Source organism: Homo sapiens, chromosome 6 (assembly GCF_000001405.40).
Source record: "Homo sapiens chromosome 6, GRCh38.p14 Primary Assembly".
NCBI lineage: Eukaryota > Metazoa > Chordata > Mammalia > Primates > Hominidae > Homo > Homo sapiens.
In genome coordinates this window covers 26,015,237-26,030,375 of record NC_000006.12, presented here as the reverse complement: position 1 = coordinate 26,030,375, position 15,139 = coordinate 26,015,237, and the positions used below count along the sequence as shown (strand labels likewise).

The following is a 15,139-nucleotide window of genomic DNA, read 5'->3' as shown; positions in this document are numbered from 1 at the left end:
ATATGTCAGTTTGTTTTATGATTCGTTTTTCTTGACTCTTATACAAGCGACTCTAACTGGCATAGACATTTGTTATCCACAGACAGTATAGATATGTTAGAGATGCCAATGGACTTGGTCTATGCCAAGGTGACTACTCACAAGCTCTGGGCCCAGCTGAAGGTCAAGTATTTTTTTTCCAGTTATAGATGTGCTGGATCTGATGTATAGCGCTTGACTTTTTATATTTTCTTTATCTGTAGGAAACAAATGTGTTGGAGGTACTGGGTCTGACGAATAGCATAAAAGAATAAAGTTACATTACTGTCTGAGGATCAGATGGACAGGGGGTGGTAGCTCAGTCCAGCTATTTTCCACTCCCTCACTTACATTCTTTGCCCCCTCCTCAACAGAACAAGGATTCTGCTGTAACTCTTCATTGACAGTTGATATTTAAAAATTAACGAATGGATGAAATTCTCATTTGTGAAAGAAAATTTATTGAGCATTTTGTATTTGTGAGTAGTGCAAACATTTTAATATTATATTAAGAATCTATTGTTTTGTATTAGAGGAGTAATTAAGGAGAGATTGGAGACAAAAAGGGGGTGTTGTTTGCAGAATATACCATCCAAAAATAGACCACTGTGGGATCAGGATTCTTTTGAGCTAAAGGCACTTCAAAAACAGCATTCAAGAAGGGAATTCTTCTAAACTTTTCTTTCTGAAAACAGGAGATAAAAGTTCCAATGTGAAAAATGCTCTGCTTGTACCAGGTGAAAAGACATATTCTTCAGCCCAGAGGCATAGATGAGATAATTCTGCACAAACACAGCAGGGAGTCATAGCCGAGAGACTTCTATACACAAACAAACCTTGTTAAAATAATCATATATTCCTTTAATCTCCTCATATGGTTTACTTTCCCACAATTGCCTCTCTTTAACTTAATGTGAAAGCATTTAGCTTTTGCCATTTCTTTGGGGCTTCACTTTTTTATGAGGGTTCTCCTGTCCCATAAAATTTACATTAAATACATTTGTATGCTTTCATTCTGCTAATCTGTTTTATGGCAAATGAATTATCAGGTCCAGCTGGAGACCCTAACAGAGTAGAGGTAAAATTTTGCCTCCCTACAAGATAGAGATTGTGTGCATTAAATGTTGTTTGTTCCCAGTTGTTCAGTTTGTCAGGCCTCTGAGCCGAAGCTAAGCCATCATATCCCCTGTGAACTGCACGTATGCCTCTAGATGGCCTGAAGTAACTGAAGAAACACAAAAGAAGTGAAAATGCCCTGTTCCTGCCTTAACTGATGACATTACCTTGTGAAATTCCTTCTCCTGGCTCATCCTGACTCAAAAGCTCCCCCACTGAGCACCTTGTGACCCCCACCCCTGCCAGCCAGAGAACAACCCCCTTTGACTGTAATTTTCCACTATCTACCCAAATCTTATAAAACGGACCCACCCCATCTCCCTTCGCTGACTCTTTTCGGACTCAGCCCGCCTGCACCCAGGTAGAATAAACAGCCTTGTTGCTCACACAAACCCTGTTTGATGGTCTCTTCACACGGACGCGCCTGAAACAGTTTAACAGGGTTTTTCCTGCCCAGTCACAACAAAGTGATGTTATGCTGCAGGCTGAAGTTTACAGCTAATGCTGTTGAAGTCTAAAATCAGTTTTGGTTTGTTAGATTTGGGTGAGATGGCTAAGATTCTCAGAGAAAGAAGTCAAGTTTGGGGTGCATTTTTCAGACTTAAAAATTTAGCAGTAGCCCTTGCAGTTTTTCCAATAGAAGTGATTTAAGAATGTTTTCAGGAAATTTAAAACAACAGTGAGAAGCGTGTATGGAGAGTTGAACTACACTCCAGACTTGGCTATAGGAAAGCACGAATGCTGCTATTGTATTGCACCTTGGAAAAGAGAACAAAGGAATATTTTCGGACAATTTTAACATGTCACATATGAAAAGCTAAACGGAATCTGTCAACACCTTGTACGTTATTACAGGCTGTGATTTTAAAAAAACAATCCTTACTAATACATACATAGTTGCTGCTAGCAATATAGTGTTGGGAGTAAAAACACGAAAATGAGAGTTCAGGACAATATCCCAACTCTGAGCAGATTTTTTTAAGTAGTAACATCTAAAATTAAACCATATTATGTAATATTTATTTCTTTTCCACAGTCTCTTCTCATGCCTCGTTCACATTAGCTAATTAAAAGTCCCCTGAGTATCATCATAACCCGATTTACAGATGAAGGCACGGTTGCAATGAGCTATCACCCTCTTCTGAATGAGACAGTACAGTGTGAAGGATAGCAAAACTCCACTCCCATCCTCTTAGGGCTCTGGCTGGACCAGCAAATTAAATTAATGTAAAATGGATTAACAGGAGAAAGGTATATGCATTTATTTAACACAGGTTTTACGTGACACAGGTGCTCTCATAAGGTAATGAAAGCCCAAAAAAAGCAGTTAGCTACTTATATAATGAATTGGACAATTAGTAAAATGTAAAAATGCGCTAAAGCAAAGGGATTTAGGCTAGAATATATAACTGTGTAGAGAAGCGCCCAGCAAGGGCTAGTGCAAGGTTTGTACAGAATTCTCTTGGCCTCAGCCTCCTATCCTTGAGAAGAATGTTGCTTTTTTTAAACTACAGTGAGAACATCTTTCATATGAGAATTTCACCTACTGCTTCTAAGAAACAGGTCAGCTTTCAAGAAAACATAAGGCCAGAGTGATCTTTTCACGCCTGCTCTTTTAAGTACCTTTGAATAGTCAATATGTCTTCAAGCACTTGAAAGACTTAAAAAGTTTACCACTCCGGCATATTAGTGAAAGCCCTTAATATAAGCCCTTATTAAAATTCTCAGTCGAGGGTATAAATTCAGATTCAAATAGTAGTGTCGTAAACGGGAGGGAAAAACTAAAGGGATTAAAAAGTGAAACTATTGTGTTCTCCCTCGCAGTCCTTAGGTCACTGCCCCTCGAGGGGCGGAGCAAAAAGTGAGGCAGCAACGCCTCCTTATCCTCGCTCCCGCTTTCAGTTCTCAATAAGGTCCGATGTTCGTGTATAAATGCTCGTGGCTTGCTTTCTTTTCGCGTACCTGGTTTTTGTTGTCAGCTGGTTAGACATGTCTGGTCGCGGCAAAGGCGGTAAAGGTTTGGGTAAGGGAGGTGCCAAGCGTCACCGAAAAGTGCTGCGGGATAACATCCAAGGCATCACCAAACCGGCCATTCGGCGCCTTGCTAGGCGTGGTGGGGTTAAGCGAATTTCCGGTTTGATTTATGAGGAGACTCGTGGCGTTCTCAAGGTGTTTCTGGAGAACGTGATCCGGGACGCCGTGACCTACACGGAGCACGCCAAGCGCAAGACTGTCACTGCCATGGATGTGGTTTACGCGCTCAAGCGTCAAGGACGCACTCTGTACGGCTTCGGCGGTTAATCTTTTCGTCAGTTTTCTTCCAATGGCCCTTTTCAGGGCCGCCCACTCCCTCTCAGAAAGAGCTGTGATTGTATTCTTTCGGATGGTAACATCTCAATGGCTTTACTCGGCTATTCTGCCTAGTATGTAGAACTATTATAAACCAGTTGGGAGAGACCAGGTTGTTTGGTCTGAGTGGCTGCTAAAGCAGAAATCAGCTAAGTAAACGAGGTCTCCGAGATAAGTGAGCTATAAACTTCAATGCTATAGTTTTGACATGTCAAGCAACTTAACGTGCAGCGCGAGTCCGATAAATGAGTAGCTCAGCTTTTTAGTTTTAAAAACGAGTTGTGCGTTATTTGTACGAGAGCCTAAGATGCTAGCTGCCTGGAACTGAGTAGGTGGATTAAAATGGGTGTCAGGTCTGTTTTCCCAGGCGTATCTGACTTAACGTCAGCAAAAGCTGTACTTTTAGCTTCCCTGGTAACACCTGCCGTCCTTAACCGCCCCCTGCCGGTAGCGCCAGAAGCCTTTACTTCCATTTCTAGTTGAGCTTGGCGTCCTGCTGAGTGACGTCACCTCCCCCTTCTCTGGAGTAGGACTGGCGGTTAAAGCTGCTTTGCTATTTTCAGTCCTCAGGCTGGAGGCTCCCCTAAGCAGGCTGCCTACGCAGTTCGTAAATTCCCACTTAGTAGACTAAGGGAGTCTGTTTTATAAATAAGGACTCAAATTTCTTCTGACTCCGAGGTCCGTGGCAGCAGCTATAAGATGGAAGCCCCCTCTGATGTAAGATTCTCAGATGACTTGCATCTTCACTGTACCTGTCAACCCAATAGTCTTCTATTCCTGCCTTAAATTGTAAATTCCAAAACTGATTTAATTGTGAAAGTTTCAAACTGTACGACCTAGGAAGTGTCAAAGTTAGGTGACCAGATTTTTAGAAGTCAGCCAAATATTCAGCATCTTTGATTTAGTAACAAATATATTGATGGCTACTTCAGCAAAAAAAATCAACTTTGTTTTCTGGTTACTTTGCTAACAAGCTTCTCCTGACAGGAGGATATAGTGAATAGGCAGTTGAATAAGTGAGTTCGGGTGAGAGGTCTGAGCTGGAGATAAAAATGTGTGAGTCATCAGCAGATAAATAAATGCTGAGACCAGATGAGATGGCTAAAAACTGAAACATAATGTAGTGCAGCATTGTTTGTAATAGTAAATGAGTGGCAACTGTAAAGTTTTCATCAGAAAGGACTAGAGTGATCTATACATCCATAAAATAGAGTATTTCTCTACACAGCCCTACTAAAGAATGAGAAAGCTGTACTCCACTACATACTCTGGTGTACTCTGGCTCAGTTCTTGGACTCCTCTTTTCTTGGCTAACTCAACTGGCCTCACCACTTACATGCTCTGTGCTCTGTCAAATAGTTTGTTCAACAGAACACCACGGCCTAGCTGTAAGTGCCACGTTAACTTCTAGCAATGCCAAAGCCTGTGATAGTGGCAGCTTCGGGCTGTTTCTCATTCCCGGGATGCCTAACCACCTCTCCAAATTCTATCAGTTTGCTTCCACCCACTTCAAGCTTCAGAACGAAACATAGAGCTTAAGAAATATAGGCCCGGCAAGGTGGCTCACGCCTGTAATCCCGGCACTTTGGAAAGCTGAGCCTGGTGGATCACCTGGGGTCAGGGGTTCGAGACCAGCCTGGCCAATATTGTGAAACCCCGTCTCTACTAAAAAAAAAAAAAAAATTAGCTGGGCATGGTTGCGGGCGACTGTAATCCAAGCTACTCGGGAGGGTGAGACAGGAGAATAGCTTGAACTCGGGAGGCAGAAGTTGCAGTGAGTTGAGATCGCGCTATTACACTTAGGCCTGGGAGACAAGAGTGAAACTGTGTCTCTAAATAAGTGTTTGCAATTATAAACCATCTCCCTGACCTTAAATCTCTAGACTCATATACAACTGCATATTTGATGTATCTAATTGAATAATGGGCATCTCGAACTTGTCCAAAATATGTTTATACGTAAACACCAAGTCTGTTCTTCCTCTGATATTTGTCATGTCAATCAATAGAACTCCATTCTTCAAGCAGCTTGGGCCAGGAATTGTGCAATATTGTTTGTCCTGAGCTTCTTACAACTTTCACCCAATGCAGTCAGCTCTGTTGAAAATCAATCAGAATACCTTTCATTGTTTTCTTTGCTGCTTCTCTAGGAGCAAGCTGCCATGGCGGTTTGTCTGAATGACCACAGTGACCCCAAACTGGTCTTTGTTTTCACTTTTAATCCCCCTGTCATACAGTTTTTTCTCTATCCAGCATCAACAGTGATCCTTTTTGAAGGTATTATGTCCACTGTCTGCTGAAAAGATTCCACTGGCTTTCCATCACCTTCATAATAAAAACCAGCATCCTTATCATAGCCTACAAGTAAGATGACCAACCATTACAGTTTGCCTGACTCTCAGGGGTTTCTCAGGGTGTAAGACTTACAGTGCTGAAACTTAGAAAGTTCCAAGCAAACTAGGATGAGCTGCTCAACCTACTAGATCTGTACTCTGGCTACCCTCTGACCTCATTCTCTTCGCAGTTCTTTCTCTTCACTGACCTTGCTGTTTCTGGAATGGACCAAGCATTTCCAGCATCAGCACCTTTATATCTATTCTTTCTCCCTAGAAGGGTCTTGTCCTGGATATCTGAATGGCTCTAGATCTCATTTCATTCAAGCCTCTCCTCAAATACCAACCTTACGAAAGAGACCTCCCATAATCATCCCTTGTAAAATAAGCTTTTCTGCTCATTTAGCATATATATATATAGTTGACTATCCTCAATAGCATATATATATAACATTTCCCCACCTAGAATTATATATGTAATAATATATTTAACAAAAAATACATATAACTAGATATATTTTATTTTGTGTTTGTTCTCTCTCCCCCAACTGGAATATATTTTTTGAAGGTAGGGACTTTGTTTTGTCCCAGAAGTATCCCTAGCACCTTGAACAGGGCTGACGTTTAACAGGTAGTTTATGGAGGTTTGTTGAATGAAAGGATGTGTGAATTTTCTATGTAAGTCTCCAGGCTCTCCACTAAGCCCACCAGAATGCTAACACAATCAATTCCCCATCTCATTCCTTGACCTGCCACTGCCTGAAGCAATCAGCGTGCAGTTTCTCTTTAGAAAATCTGGGGGATAGTCTAGGGGTTGCAAATTAAGCAACATTATCTTTGTTCTGAACAAGGACTGCATGAGTGTTAGGACTGAAGAAGGCCCAAGGTGGTGGTGGGTATGCCTAAGATGAGTATGACATATCAGCAATGCTATGAACATAGCAATGCTATGAAAGGCCAGGCAAAACGTAACAGGAGCTAGTCGTGGCTTATTGTTACAACGACTATACCTCCCATATGGGTAATCGATATCCACACACCCCTCTACATTGACTCTGGAATTCAGGAAAGGGAATTAAAATTTTCTAACTTATGTACCCCAATGATTTCAACAATATCTGGCATATGAGATCAATAAATATCTTTAAAATACCAACTAAGAAAGACATAAAATGACCCACCCTCCATACCAGGCTCATTTTTGCTCCTCTGATTCCTGAAACTATCCAGAATGCAGCTATGAATTCTCTCCATTGTCAGTTTTAAATTAAGCCAAGCTGGGTACTTGTGTAATTCCTCAAGAAATCCTGGATGAAAACTGTCAGGTGGAAAACAGGACCTCAAAATAAAGAGACATCCATCACTGAAGCTAACATCGTGAGGCTGAAATCAGTCCTATAACAATGGTACCAAAAAGAGCACAATGAGAGGCATTTGTGAATATTTACTCAGATGAGAGTAAGATATTTCCCTATCAGCTAACCTGAAGTTCACATCCCTTTTCCAGCTGAGTTCTGAAGCTAGATGTACTTAACTGGAACACATAACTGCATCAGGAACATCCTTTAAAACTATGGCTACCATGGCTTGACTGGACAAACCCCAGGCTTCCAGGTTTAGCACAGGTGGCCCTTCACAGACCAACATTGCCTATGCTACCAACCTCATGTCCTACCACCCTGCTTGCATCATTTCTCTCTCTGCATATATAAAAATATATGTGTATGTATATAATCAGCTTTATTGATATTTAATGTACCACAAAATTTGCCCACTTTAGGTACAGTTCAATGAATTTTACCGTGTTTTCTTAGTTGTACAACCATCATCACAATTTAATTTCGGAATATTTCTATCACCCAAATTTCCATTTCTGCGTAAAGGGGGAAAAAAAAAGGTTAACTGCTGAAGGCCGCGGTAACACTGAAAAAGGTGCCTTTTCTCTCTAAAACAGATTTTAATCTCCCCTGAATTTAGTGTCCTGGGTATTCCAGGAGTCTGAATAGGGTTTCAATTTTCAGGGTCTTTTTAATAGAGTAAAACTGTATTGGTGGCGATAAATTTAGTATTGCTCTCAGTACATGATTGAGGGATACTTAAATGTCTCTGTGATTTTATTTCATAATCGCTAAAAGATGGTTTTTTTTTTTCCTAAAACAGGGTTTTTGTTTTTTCTCAATAAGCTTCTTAGCTTCCCCTCCGGCTCCCTGGCTTGCCTCAGGAAATATTAGCTCATCAGTTCTGATTGGTTGACAGCTACGAATGGCCCTCATTGATTGGGCAGCGCTTCTTTGTCCCTTGGAAACTAATACAAATTTTTAACACTACTTTTTTTCCACTCTTTCTTCAGAGTTGGAATATCGTTGCTCCCCTACCCATATGTAGTGAGTGGAGGGCAAACTTGGAGTTCCCCTAATCTTTCCTTTTTAGGATGTCAGCTCAGTATCATTCATCTTAATTACACATTGAGCTTCTTGACTTAATGGATACAGCTCTTCTTTTGTTTAGTTGGGCGGCCCTGAAAAGGGCCTTTGGTTCAGAAATGCAAGCTGTGGAGAAATCAGCAACCTTAACCGCCAAAGCCATAAAGGGTGCGTCCCTGGCGCTTAAGCGCGTAGACCACGTCCATGGCAGTGACTGTCTTGCGCTTGGCGTGCTCCGTATAGGTGACAGCGTCACGGATCACGTTCTCCAAAAACACCTTGAGCACCCCGCGAGTCTCCTCGTAGATCAGACCAGAGATCCGCTTCACACCGCCACGCCGGGCCAGACGCCGGATGGCCGGCTTGGTGATGCCCTGGATGTTGTCACGCAACACCTTGCGGTGGCGCTTGGCACCCCCCTTACCCAAACCCTTCCCGCCCTTACCACGTCCAGACATGACTTCCCAAGAAGTGAACCAAGAGCAAGTGAGAGAATAGGAAACCGATCTTTATATATCTACGTTACCCCTGCCCCCACCTCCAGCGGACACTGAGACTGAAAAGCGCGCAGGCGGGAAATGTGACGCCTACAGTCCGCTCCTTTAACCCCTCCTCCAAGCCCCAGGAAATGGCGGGAGCAGCGATTGGGGGAGGGTGGGGAGATGAGGGTGGGACCAAGCAGGCTTGACCAATGGCCTTTATTTTCTTAACAGAGCTACAGGCTTTGAGGAACTGGGTTAAGAATTAAATGTAAACCCATTCTGACTCCAGAATTATTTTAAGTCGAACTTTTTTTTTAACCGAATCTCTCTGTCGCCCAGACTGGAGTACATTAGAGCCATCTCGATTCACTGAAACCTCTGCCTCTCAGGTTCAAGTGTTTCTCCTGCCTCAGCCTTCAGAGTGTAGCTGGGATTACAAGCGCTCGCCGTCGCGCCCGGCGTGTTTTTGTATTTTTCGTAGAGACGGGATTCGGCCATGTTGGCCAGGCTGATCCCGAACTCCTGATTTCTGGTAATCCGCCCGCCTCAGCCTCTCAAAGTGCTTGAATTACAGGCGTGAGTCACCGCGACCGGCCGAAATCGATTGGTTTTGAAGCCTTCAGTAGCATTAAAACGAAAAGTGCTCCCAATGCATTCCCTTTTGTCTTAAATTGGTTTCTTACAGCTACTTTACTTGAAAAGGTGGTGGCTCTGAAAAGAGCCTTTGCTTGGACCGTCAGAGAGACCACAGTAATCACGCCCTCTCTCCGCGGATGCGGCGGGCGAGCTGGATGTCCTTGGGCATGATAGTGACGCGCTTGGCGTGGATGGCGCACAGGTTAGTGTCCTCAAATAGCCCTACCAAGTAGGCCTCGCACGCCTCCTGCAGAGCCATCACAGCGGAGCTCTGGAAACGCAGGTCTGTTTTAAAGTCCTGCGCAATCTCGCGCACCAGGCGCTGGAAAGGTAGTTTACGAATAAGCAGTTCAGTGGACTTCTGATAACGGCGGATCTCGCGCAGAGCCACGGTGCCCGGCCGGTAGCGGTGGGGCTTTTTCACGCCGCCGGTGGCCGGAGCGCTTTTGCGGGCTGCCTTAGTGGCCAACTGTTTGCGTGGCGCCTTGCCACCAGTAGACTTCCGAGCAGTTTGCTTAGTGCGAGCCATGACGGAAAAACAGCACAGCGGAACACCCAACACTAGCGCAAATACGCCCATGAGCTGCTCTATTTATAGTGTGTAAAGTGCAGTGATTGGATGATAGAAGACGCTAAATATGACGTTACACACTCTGATTGGTCTATCTTTAAGCCAGCAACAATCGTGCAGTTTCACCGGCTACTATATTCTATTCCAACTCTACAGATGATTATTTAAGTGGTATTTTATTACTACTATTATTTTATTTTACTTTTGCTTTGTTCCCCAAGCTGGTCTTAAACTTGGGCTCAAAGGATCTTCCCGCCTCAGCATCCAGAGTAGCTGGGATTACAGGGGAGCCCCACTGCGCCGGCTTGGACTTTAATTTTTTAAACTTGTCCTCTTCTACATCTGGTTTTCATAACCTGAAGGCTGTGTTTATTTTCCATAAAACAAGGCATTGATTCCAAAGGTATTATAATTCCCCAATTCCGTATAACCTTCAGCTCTTTAGGAAAAAAAAAAAAAAAAAAAAAAAGAGGGAATACTGCTCACCTCCTCTCCGGAAATGTACCCTTTACGGGAATTTCTGAAACCTTTCACAAGAATTGGATTCCTTTGTAATGCTTTAATTGACTTAGGAGTGTTATTGAAATCTACAAAGCATCTCAAACATAGTAGGATTACACTATTACTCAGAAACATTTTCTATGAGACGTCTTTCTCTTGATTATGCTCTTTGAATCCTAAACTTGCAGCGTTCTGCAGCTTTTGTTTTCTAAAGCCTAGGTGTACTCTGCCAGTCACAAAATGGCGTTTCTCCAGCACTGCCGCCAGGTACCACCAGCTGGGAGTTGTTCCTCTTGCGGAGCAGGAGGTGGACTTGGCCCAAGAGAAACTGGATAGTGGTTCGCAAGGAACATAATTTAGCATTGCCAAGAGCTAATGCAATCATTTTGAAAATCTCAAAACACTGAAAAGTGGATTGTGACCTTTTTAAATTCACAAGAGACAGGCCACATTCTATCTTTTGATTGGTTTAGGCTATTTTCTTGAACAGCCATTTAGAAAGCAGATCTATCATCCTTCATTTGCATGGAGCGTTCCCATTTTATTTGAAACCAGTTTAACCCAATAGAAAAAAGGGAGGCAGAACCCATTATTTAAAGTGGAAACTCCTGAATCAGATAATTAGGAGTATTTCCTTTTCAAAAGTTGCGTTTTTTCAGATACCTCGCTTATTACACTAAGAAAGGTTTATATCTTTCACAAAGGGTTTACTTACAAAAATCTTCCAATTTTGTATACCTGTGTTTCATAACTGACTAGCCGTCAAACCAAGATGTAGAGTTTCCAACCGTTATTTTCCAAATTTTTAGAAATTACGTGAAATATTTGAATGCATGCCTTCTCAATAAAATGGGACGTAGGAAGCACTGGTGCAGAAGATGGGTACAATACTTATCTGGGACCACTCCATTATTTGGTTGGCACGTTGTTTGAACAAAAAGGGGAAAAGCTCAGGTTACTTAGCATGGTTCGGACTTATTTGAAAACTACCACAGCAGGAGCGGAAATAAGACCGCATTACCTCACTCTCTGCTGTGCTGTGCTAGGGGGTTATCCAGAATAGGATTGTAGAAGTGGATGTCGATTTAATAGTTTTTTATTCTCCCATTAGCTGAGTCTCTGATTGGCAATGTGAGATCGTTTTAGCTTATTGATACTTTGAAATGCACTTAACAGCCACAAACAAGTTAAAGGGTTGTTACCATAAAATCTTATCCCCAGGGTGTGCTTGCATTTATCACCCGTGTTTGCTTTCACACTAAGTGGACTTAACTCCCCAGCAGAATGCCTGTCAGGGAACCGGTTTCGTGGACCCAGCATTTAACGCCTTTCGCAGGCTTGTGAGGCCCATAAATATTTGTTGAATAAAAGAATGAGTTGACCATGTCATGGTGCGCTGATTGCGTGTGCTGACATGGAACACAGGTTGTAAACCTTAATACCAATTTGGGGCATGTTGTATGGATGAAAAGGGCATTGGAAATTCCTGAAGTGCATCCCACATTGGACTGTGGAAATAAGTTGCAAGTGCAGAAACGTTTCCACACTTGCAGTTTGAGTATTAATTGCAGCGTTTGTGAATTCTGGTGTTGTCTACGATTCATTCTTGTTTGACGTGAAAGGTATTCGCGAGACACATCGCTCTAAAACATTGCCAGAAAATGTAATAGAGTTGATGACAACTGGCCCTAACACGGCCTAAAACTCGCACTTTTCTCTCCCTCCGCAACTATTCAAAACACTGTATTTTACATTTCTTGCAAATTAAAAACTAACATCTCTGGCAACGGACCTCTAAAAATTTCTAATAAAACTCCTCGGATGCTTGTGGCACTGCATTTGTAAACCGCCCCCTCTCAACCTACTCCCTAAAAAAGAGCTGCTTTTTGAGAGAGAAGCGGTACCCTCTGATGTTACTGGGCGGCAGTCTGCCTACAATTTCCTTCACAATGAGGCAACCAGAGCGGCTTTTTCTGTGTGTTTGCTTGCGTTGAGGGGAGCAGGACCATAGGCCCTAGAGGCCCCCAGCTGCCTTCTGAGACTGGGCGAAACCCTCGGCAGCGCGCAGGGGGCGCTAGGGCGCGAGGGGCGGGCACTGACGGGCACCAATCACGGCGCAGTCCCACCCTATAAATAGGCTGCGTTGGGGCCTTTTTTTCGCATCCTGCTTCGTCAGGTTTATACCACTTTATTTGGTGTGCTGTGTTAGTCACCATGTCTGAAACAGTGCCTCCCGCCCCCGCCGCTTCTGCTGCTCCTGAGAAACCTTTAGCTGGCAAGAAGGCAAAGAAACCTGCTAAGGCTGCAGCAGCCTCCAAGAAAAAACCCGCTGGCCCTTCCGTGTCAGAGCTGATCGTGCAGGCTGCTTCCTCCTCTAAGGAGCGTGGTGGTGTGTCGTTGGCAGCTCTTAAAAAGGCGCTGGCGGCCGCAGGCTACGACGTGGAGAAGAACAACAGCCGCATTAAGCTGGGCATTAAGAGCCTGGTAAGCAAGGGAACGTTGGTGCAGACAAAGGGTACCGGAGCCTCGGGTTCCTTCAAGCTCAACAAGAAGGCGTCCTCCGTGGAAACCAAGCCCGGCGCCTCAAAGGTGGCTACAAAAACTAAGGCAACGGGTGCATCTAAAAAGCTCAAAAAGGCCACGGGGGCTAGCAAAAAGAGCGTCAAGACTCCGAAAAAGGCTAAAAAGCCTGCGGCAACAAGGAAATCCTCCAAGAATCCAAAAAAACCCAAAACTGTAAAGCCCAAGAAAGTAGCTAAAAGCCCTGCTAAAGCTAAGGCTGTAAAACCCAAGGCGGCCAAGGCTAGGGTGACGAAGCCAAAGACTGCCAAACCCAAGAAAGCGGCACCCAAGAAAAAGTAAATTCAGTTAGAAGTTTCTTCTAGTAACCCAACGGCTCTTTTAAGAGCCACCTACGCATTTCAGGAAAAGAGCTGTAGTACACAGATGAAATCCCCCAAGCAAATGCAACACGCCCTCAATTATATTAGAATCACTTGGAGAGTCGATAGAACTTTAACATAGCCTCATCTAGTAAGAATTTACTACTCAATCTATCAAAGATAGCAAGGTGAATTCAAATGCACCGAGTTAAAATCGAGTTTTAAAGTCACCTGGGTTTCGGTAGCCGGAAGTCCCGCGTCTCACGACTCCAAGCTAATTAGTCATAACCGTATTGAACCAAGGTTGAAGCCCAGTCCCAGGCTTGAGGCTTTTTATTATACAAGGTTAAAGTGGGGATATTGCGTTTTGGGGTCAATATTGCTAAAGTAGCATTTTCCGAAATTGGGTGGTCCTAAGAAATGCTTCTGGGATAGTTGGCAAAATATATGGCTTAACCACGCCCTCTCCACAGGAGTGGCTAGCGAGCTGTCTGTCCTTGGGAAGGACGGTGACCCTGCTGGCGTGGCTGGCGCCCACGTTGGCGTCCTCTGAAAGCCCCGCCAGGTAGGCCTAGCTCGCTTGCTTTCTGCAGCGCCATCATGACAAAGCTTTGAAACGCAAAATGCTTTCTTTGTGCAGCGCCTTACCATGGGTGCACTTACGGGCTGTCGACTTGGTTTAGGCCCTTGTCAGGACAAAGGAGCTTAGTTTGTTGGAGTTTTAGAGCTGCAACCCAAAATCCCTTGCTCGGTTTCTCTGTTTTTAGAAACGGAAGCGCCCTGATTGGATATTTGAAAATTACTGTGCTTAACTGGATCGTGTTTCATCAGTCGTGCAGGATTTTCAACCCTGGTGGAGCCCACACATTCAAAACTGAAGATCCTTTTCTCAGAACTGCCCCTTTAAGCTTTTGCAATTTTAATTCTGGGGGTCAGATTTTAATAATTGGACTTTTTTGTTTACATCTGACAAGAGTATATGATGAGCCAAGTTTACTCACTTTTACTTAGTGCAGTTCAATTCTAAAAGTTTATTTTTGCGTGTGTGCATATGAGTTAATAATCAGTTGTATTTTTCAAACGGTCTTTTTTCAATTGTTTTGCTTAGCTCCTTCCATCGTCTAAAGTCAGGGATACAGGCACATCACATCCCTGTTCCCCCTTCCTCAAACTAATATGTAGCTACCTAGGTTTATCCTTTAAAACAAAAATTCTCACCTATTTTTGTGAGAAATATACATGTTTTTCTTTGAACTAAGTATTTTACATACACCTATCTATATACATGCATACTTGTGGTTTTGTTTTTTTAAAAAAAAAAAAAAAAAAACACGTTATCTTTTGAGACTGGGTCTCAGTCTGTTGCCCAGACTGGACTGCAGTGGCATAATCACAGCACACTGTAACCTCCAACTCCTGGGCTCAGGCTATCCTGCAGCCTCAGCATCCGGAGTAGCTGGGATTGCATGCACGCACCACCAAGCCGGGCTTTTTGTTTTTATTTTTTGTGGAGACAGTCACACCATGTTGTCCAAGCTGGTCTAGAAATGGCCTCAAGTGATCATCGACCTCCCAAAGTGTTGGGATTACGGTCACTGTGCCTGGCCTTGTATGCATAATTGTTTTGTCTTTTGATTAGGGTTATTAATTTAAAAAACAAAGCCTGGACGCAGTGGCTCACATCTGTAATCCCAGCACTTTAGGAAGCCAGATGGGCAGATTACTTGAGCTCAGGAGTTCAAGACCAGCCTGGGCAACATGGTGAAATCCCATCTTGACAAAAAATACAAAAAATTAGCAAGGCCCAGTGGCACGCACTTATAGTCCC

General features: G+C 43.4%; 4 protein-coding genes and 1 pseudogene across 4 annotated transcripts, besides 15 other annotated features; 2 read left to right on the top strand and 3 right to left on the bottom strand.

The window, feature by feature from the left end:
* Positions 1,268-1,853: an enhancer, noted in NCBI's record as "OCT4-NANOG-H3K27ac hESC enhancer chr6:26028751-26029336 (GRCh37/hg19 assembly coordinates)". NCBI's record gives its function as "activates a minimal SCP1, AML or CMV promoter by ChIP-STARR-seq in naive H9 embryonic stem cells {active_cell/tissue: H9 hESC(naive)}" and the evidence as "EXISTENCE:reporter gene assay evidence [ECO:0000049][PMID:30033119]".
* Positions 1,854-2,438: an enhancer, noted in NCBI's record as "H3K27ac hESC enhancer chr6:26028166-26028750 (GRCh37/hg19 assembly coordinates)". NCBI's record gives its function as "activates a minimal SCP1, AML or CMV promoter by ChIP-STARR-seq in naive H9 embryonic stem cells {active_cell/tissue: H9 hESC(naive)}" and the evidence as "EXISTENCE:reporter gene assay evidence [ECO:0000049][PMID:30033119]".
* Positions 2,439-3,024: an enhancer, noted in NCBI's record as "NANOG-H3K27ac-H3K4me1 hESC enhancer chr6:26027580-26028165 (GRCh37/hg19 assembly coordinates)". NCBI's record gives its function as "activates a minimal SCP1, AML or CMV promoter by ChIP-STARR-seq in primed H9 embryonic stem cells {active_cell/tissue: H9 hESC(primed)}" and the evidence as "EXISTENCE:reporter gene assay evidence [ECO:0000049][PMID:30033119]".
* Positions 3,001-3,320: an enhancer, noted in NCBI's record as "active region_24178". NCBI's record gives its function as "activates an Ori minimal core promoter by ATAC-STARR-seq in GM12878 lymphoblastoid cells {active_cell/tissue: GM12878}" and the evidence as "EXISTENCE:reporter gene assay evidence [ECO:0000049][PMID:35858748]".
* H4C2 (H4 clustered histone 2) lies at positions 3,093-3,480 on the top strand. The gene has a single exon (NM_003544.3). It carries the CDS (start codon positions 3,124-3,126, stop codon positions 3,433-3,435), a length of 312 nt encoding a protein of 103 aa, NP_003535.1. The 5' UTR covers positions 3,093-3,123; the 3' UTR covers positions 3,436-3,480.
* Positions 3,341-3,400: an enhancer, noted in NCBI's record as "active region_24177". NCBI's record gives its function as "activates an Ori minimal core promoter by ATAC-STARR-seq in GM12878 lymphoblastoid cells {active_cell/tissue: GM12878}" and the evidence as "EXISTENCE:reporter gene assay evidence [ECO:0000049][PMID:35858748]".
* Positions 3,431-3,480: an enhancer, noted in NCBI's record as "active region_24176". NCBI's record gives its function as "activates an Ori minimal core promoter by ATAC-STARR-seq in GM12878 lymphoblastoid cells {active_cell/tissue: GM12878}" and the evidence as "EXISTENCE:reporter gene assay evidence [ECO:0000049][PMID:35858748]".
* Positions 4,421-4,715: an enhancer, noted in NCBI's record as "tiled region #4264; K562 Activating DNase matched - State 5:Enh". NCBI's record gives its function as "activates a minimal TATA promoter and a strong SV40 promoter by Sharpr-MPRA in K562 cells {active_cell/tissue: K562}" and the evidence as "EXISTENCE:reporter gene assay evidence [ECO:0000049][PMID:27701403]".
* Positions 7,964-8,779: an enhancer, noted in NCBI's record as "H3K27ac hESC enhancer chr6:26021825-26022640 (GRCh37/hg19 assembly coordinates)". NCBI's record gives its function as "activates a minimal SCP1, AML or CMV promoter by ChIP-STARR-seq in naive H9 embryonic stem cells {active_cell/tissue: H9 hESC(naive)}" and the evidence as "EXISTENCE:reporter gene assay evidence [ECO:0000049][PMID:30033119]".
* Positions 8,133-8,362: an enhancer, noted in NCBI's record as "active region_24175". NCBI's record gives its function as "activates an Ori minimal core promoter by ATAC-STARR-seq in GM12878 lymphoblastoid cells {active_cell/tissue: GM12878}" and the evidence as "EXISTENCE:reporter gene assay evidence [ECO:0000049][PMID:35858748]".
* On the bottom strand, positions 8,326-8,727 carry H4C1 (H4 clustered histone 1). Its single transcript, NM_003538.4, has one exon. The coding sequence runs from the start codon at positions 8,695-8,697 to the stop codon at positions 8,386-8,388; it is 312 nt and encodes a 103-aa protein (NP_003529.1). The 5' UTR covers positions 8,698-8,727; the 3' UTR covers positions 8,326-8,385.
* Positions 8,513-8,742: an enhancer, noted in NCBI's record as "active region_24174". NCBI's record gives its function as "activates an Ori minimal core promoter by ATAC-STARR-seq in GM12878 lymphoblastoid cells {active_cell/tissue: GM12878}" and the evidence as "EXISTENCE:reporter gene assay evidence [ECO:0000049][PMID:35858748]".
* Positions 8,780-9,596: an enhancer, noted in NCBI's record as "NANOG-H3K27ac-H3K4me1 hESC enhancer chr6:26021008-26021824 (GRCh37/hg19 assembly coordinates)". NCBI's record gives its function as "activates a minimal SCP1, AML or CMV promoter by ChIP-STARR-seq in primed H9 embryonic stem cells {active_cell/tissue: H9 hESC(primed)}" and the evidence as "EXISTENCE:reporter gene assay evidence [ECO:0000049][PMID:30033119]".
* Positions 9,083-9,132: an enhancer, noted in NCBI's record as "active region_24173". NCBI's record gives its function as "activates an Ori minimal core promoter by ATAC-STARR-seq in GM12878 lymphoblastoid cells {active_cell/tissue: GM12878}" and the evidence as "EXISTENCE:reporter gene assay evidence [ECO:0000049][PMID:35858748]".
* Positions 9,163-9,262: an enhancer, noted in NCBI's record as "active region_24172". NCBI's record gives its function as "activates an Ori minimal core promoter by ATAC-STARR-seq in GM12878 lymphoblastoid cells {active_cell/tissue: GM12878}" and the evidence as "EXISTENCE:reporter gene assay evidence [ECO:0000049][PMID:35858748]".
* On the bottom strand, positions 9,418-9,925 carry H3C1 (H3 clustered histone 1). The gene has a single exon (NM_003529.3). It carries the CDS (start codon positions 9,884-9,886, stop codon positions 9,476-9,478), a length of 411 nt encoding a protein of 136 aa, NP_003520.1. The 5' UTR covers positions 9,887-9,925; the 3' UTR covers positions 9,418-9,475.
* Positions 9,597-10,413: an enhancer, noted in NCBI's record as "NANOG-H3K27ac-H3K4me1 hESC enhancer chr6:26020191-26021007 (GRCh37/hg19 assembly coordinates)". NCBI's record gives its function as "activates a minimal SCP1, AML or CMV promoter by ChIP-STARR-seq in naive H9 embryonic stem cells {active_cell/tissue: H9 hESC(naive)}" and the evidence as "EXISTENCE:reporter gene assay evidence [ECO:0000049][PMID:30033119]".
* Positions 12,589-13,344, top strand: H1-1 (H1.1 linker histone, cluster member). The gene has a single exon (NM_005325.4). The coding sequence runs from the start codon at positions 12,644-12,646 to the stop codon at positions 13,289-13,291; it is 648 nt and encodes a 215-aa protein (NP_005316.1). The 5' UTR covers positions 12,589-12,643; the 3' UTR covers positions 13,292-13,344.
* Positions 13,397-14,396: an enhancer, noted in NCBI's record as "NANOG-H3K27ac-H3K4me1 hESC enhancer chr6:26016208-26017207 (GRCh37/hg19 assembly coordinates)". NCBI's record gives its function as "activates a minimal SCP1, AML or CMV promoter by ChIP-STARR-seq in primed H9 embryonic stem cells {active_cell/tissue: H9 hESC(primed)}" and the evidence as "EXISTENCE:reporter gene assay evidence [ECO:0000049][PMID:30033119]".
* H3P26 (H3 histone pseudogene 26) lies at positions 13,535-14,269 on the bottom strand (annotated as a pseudogene).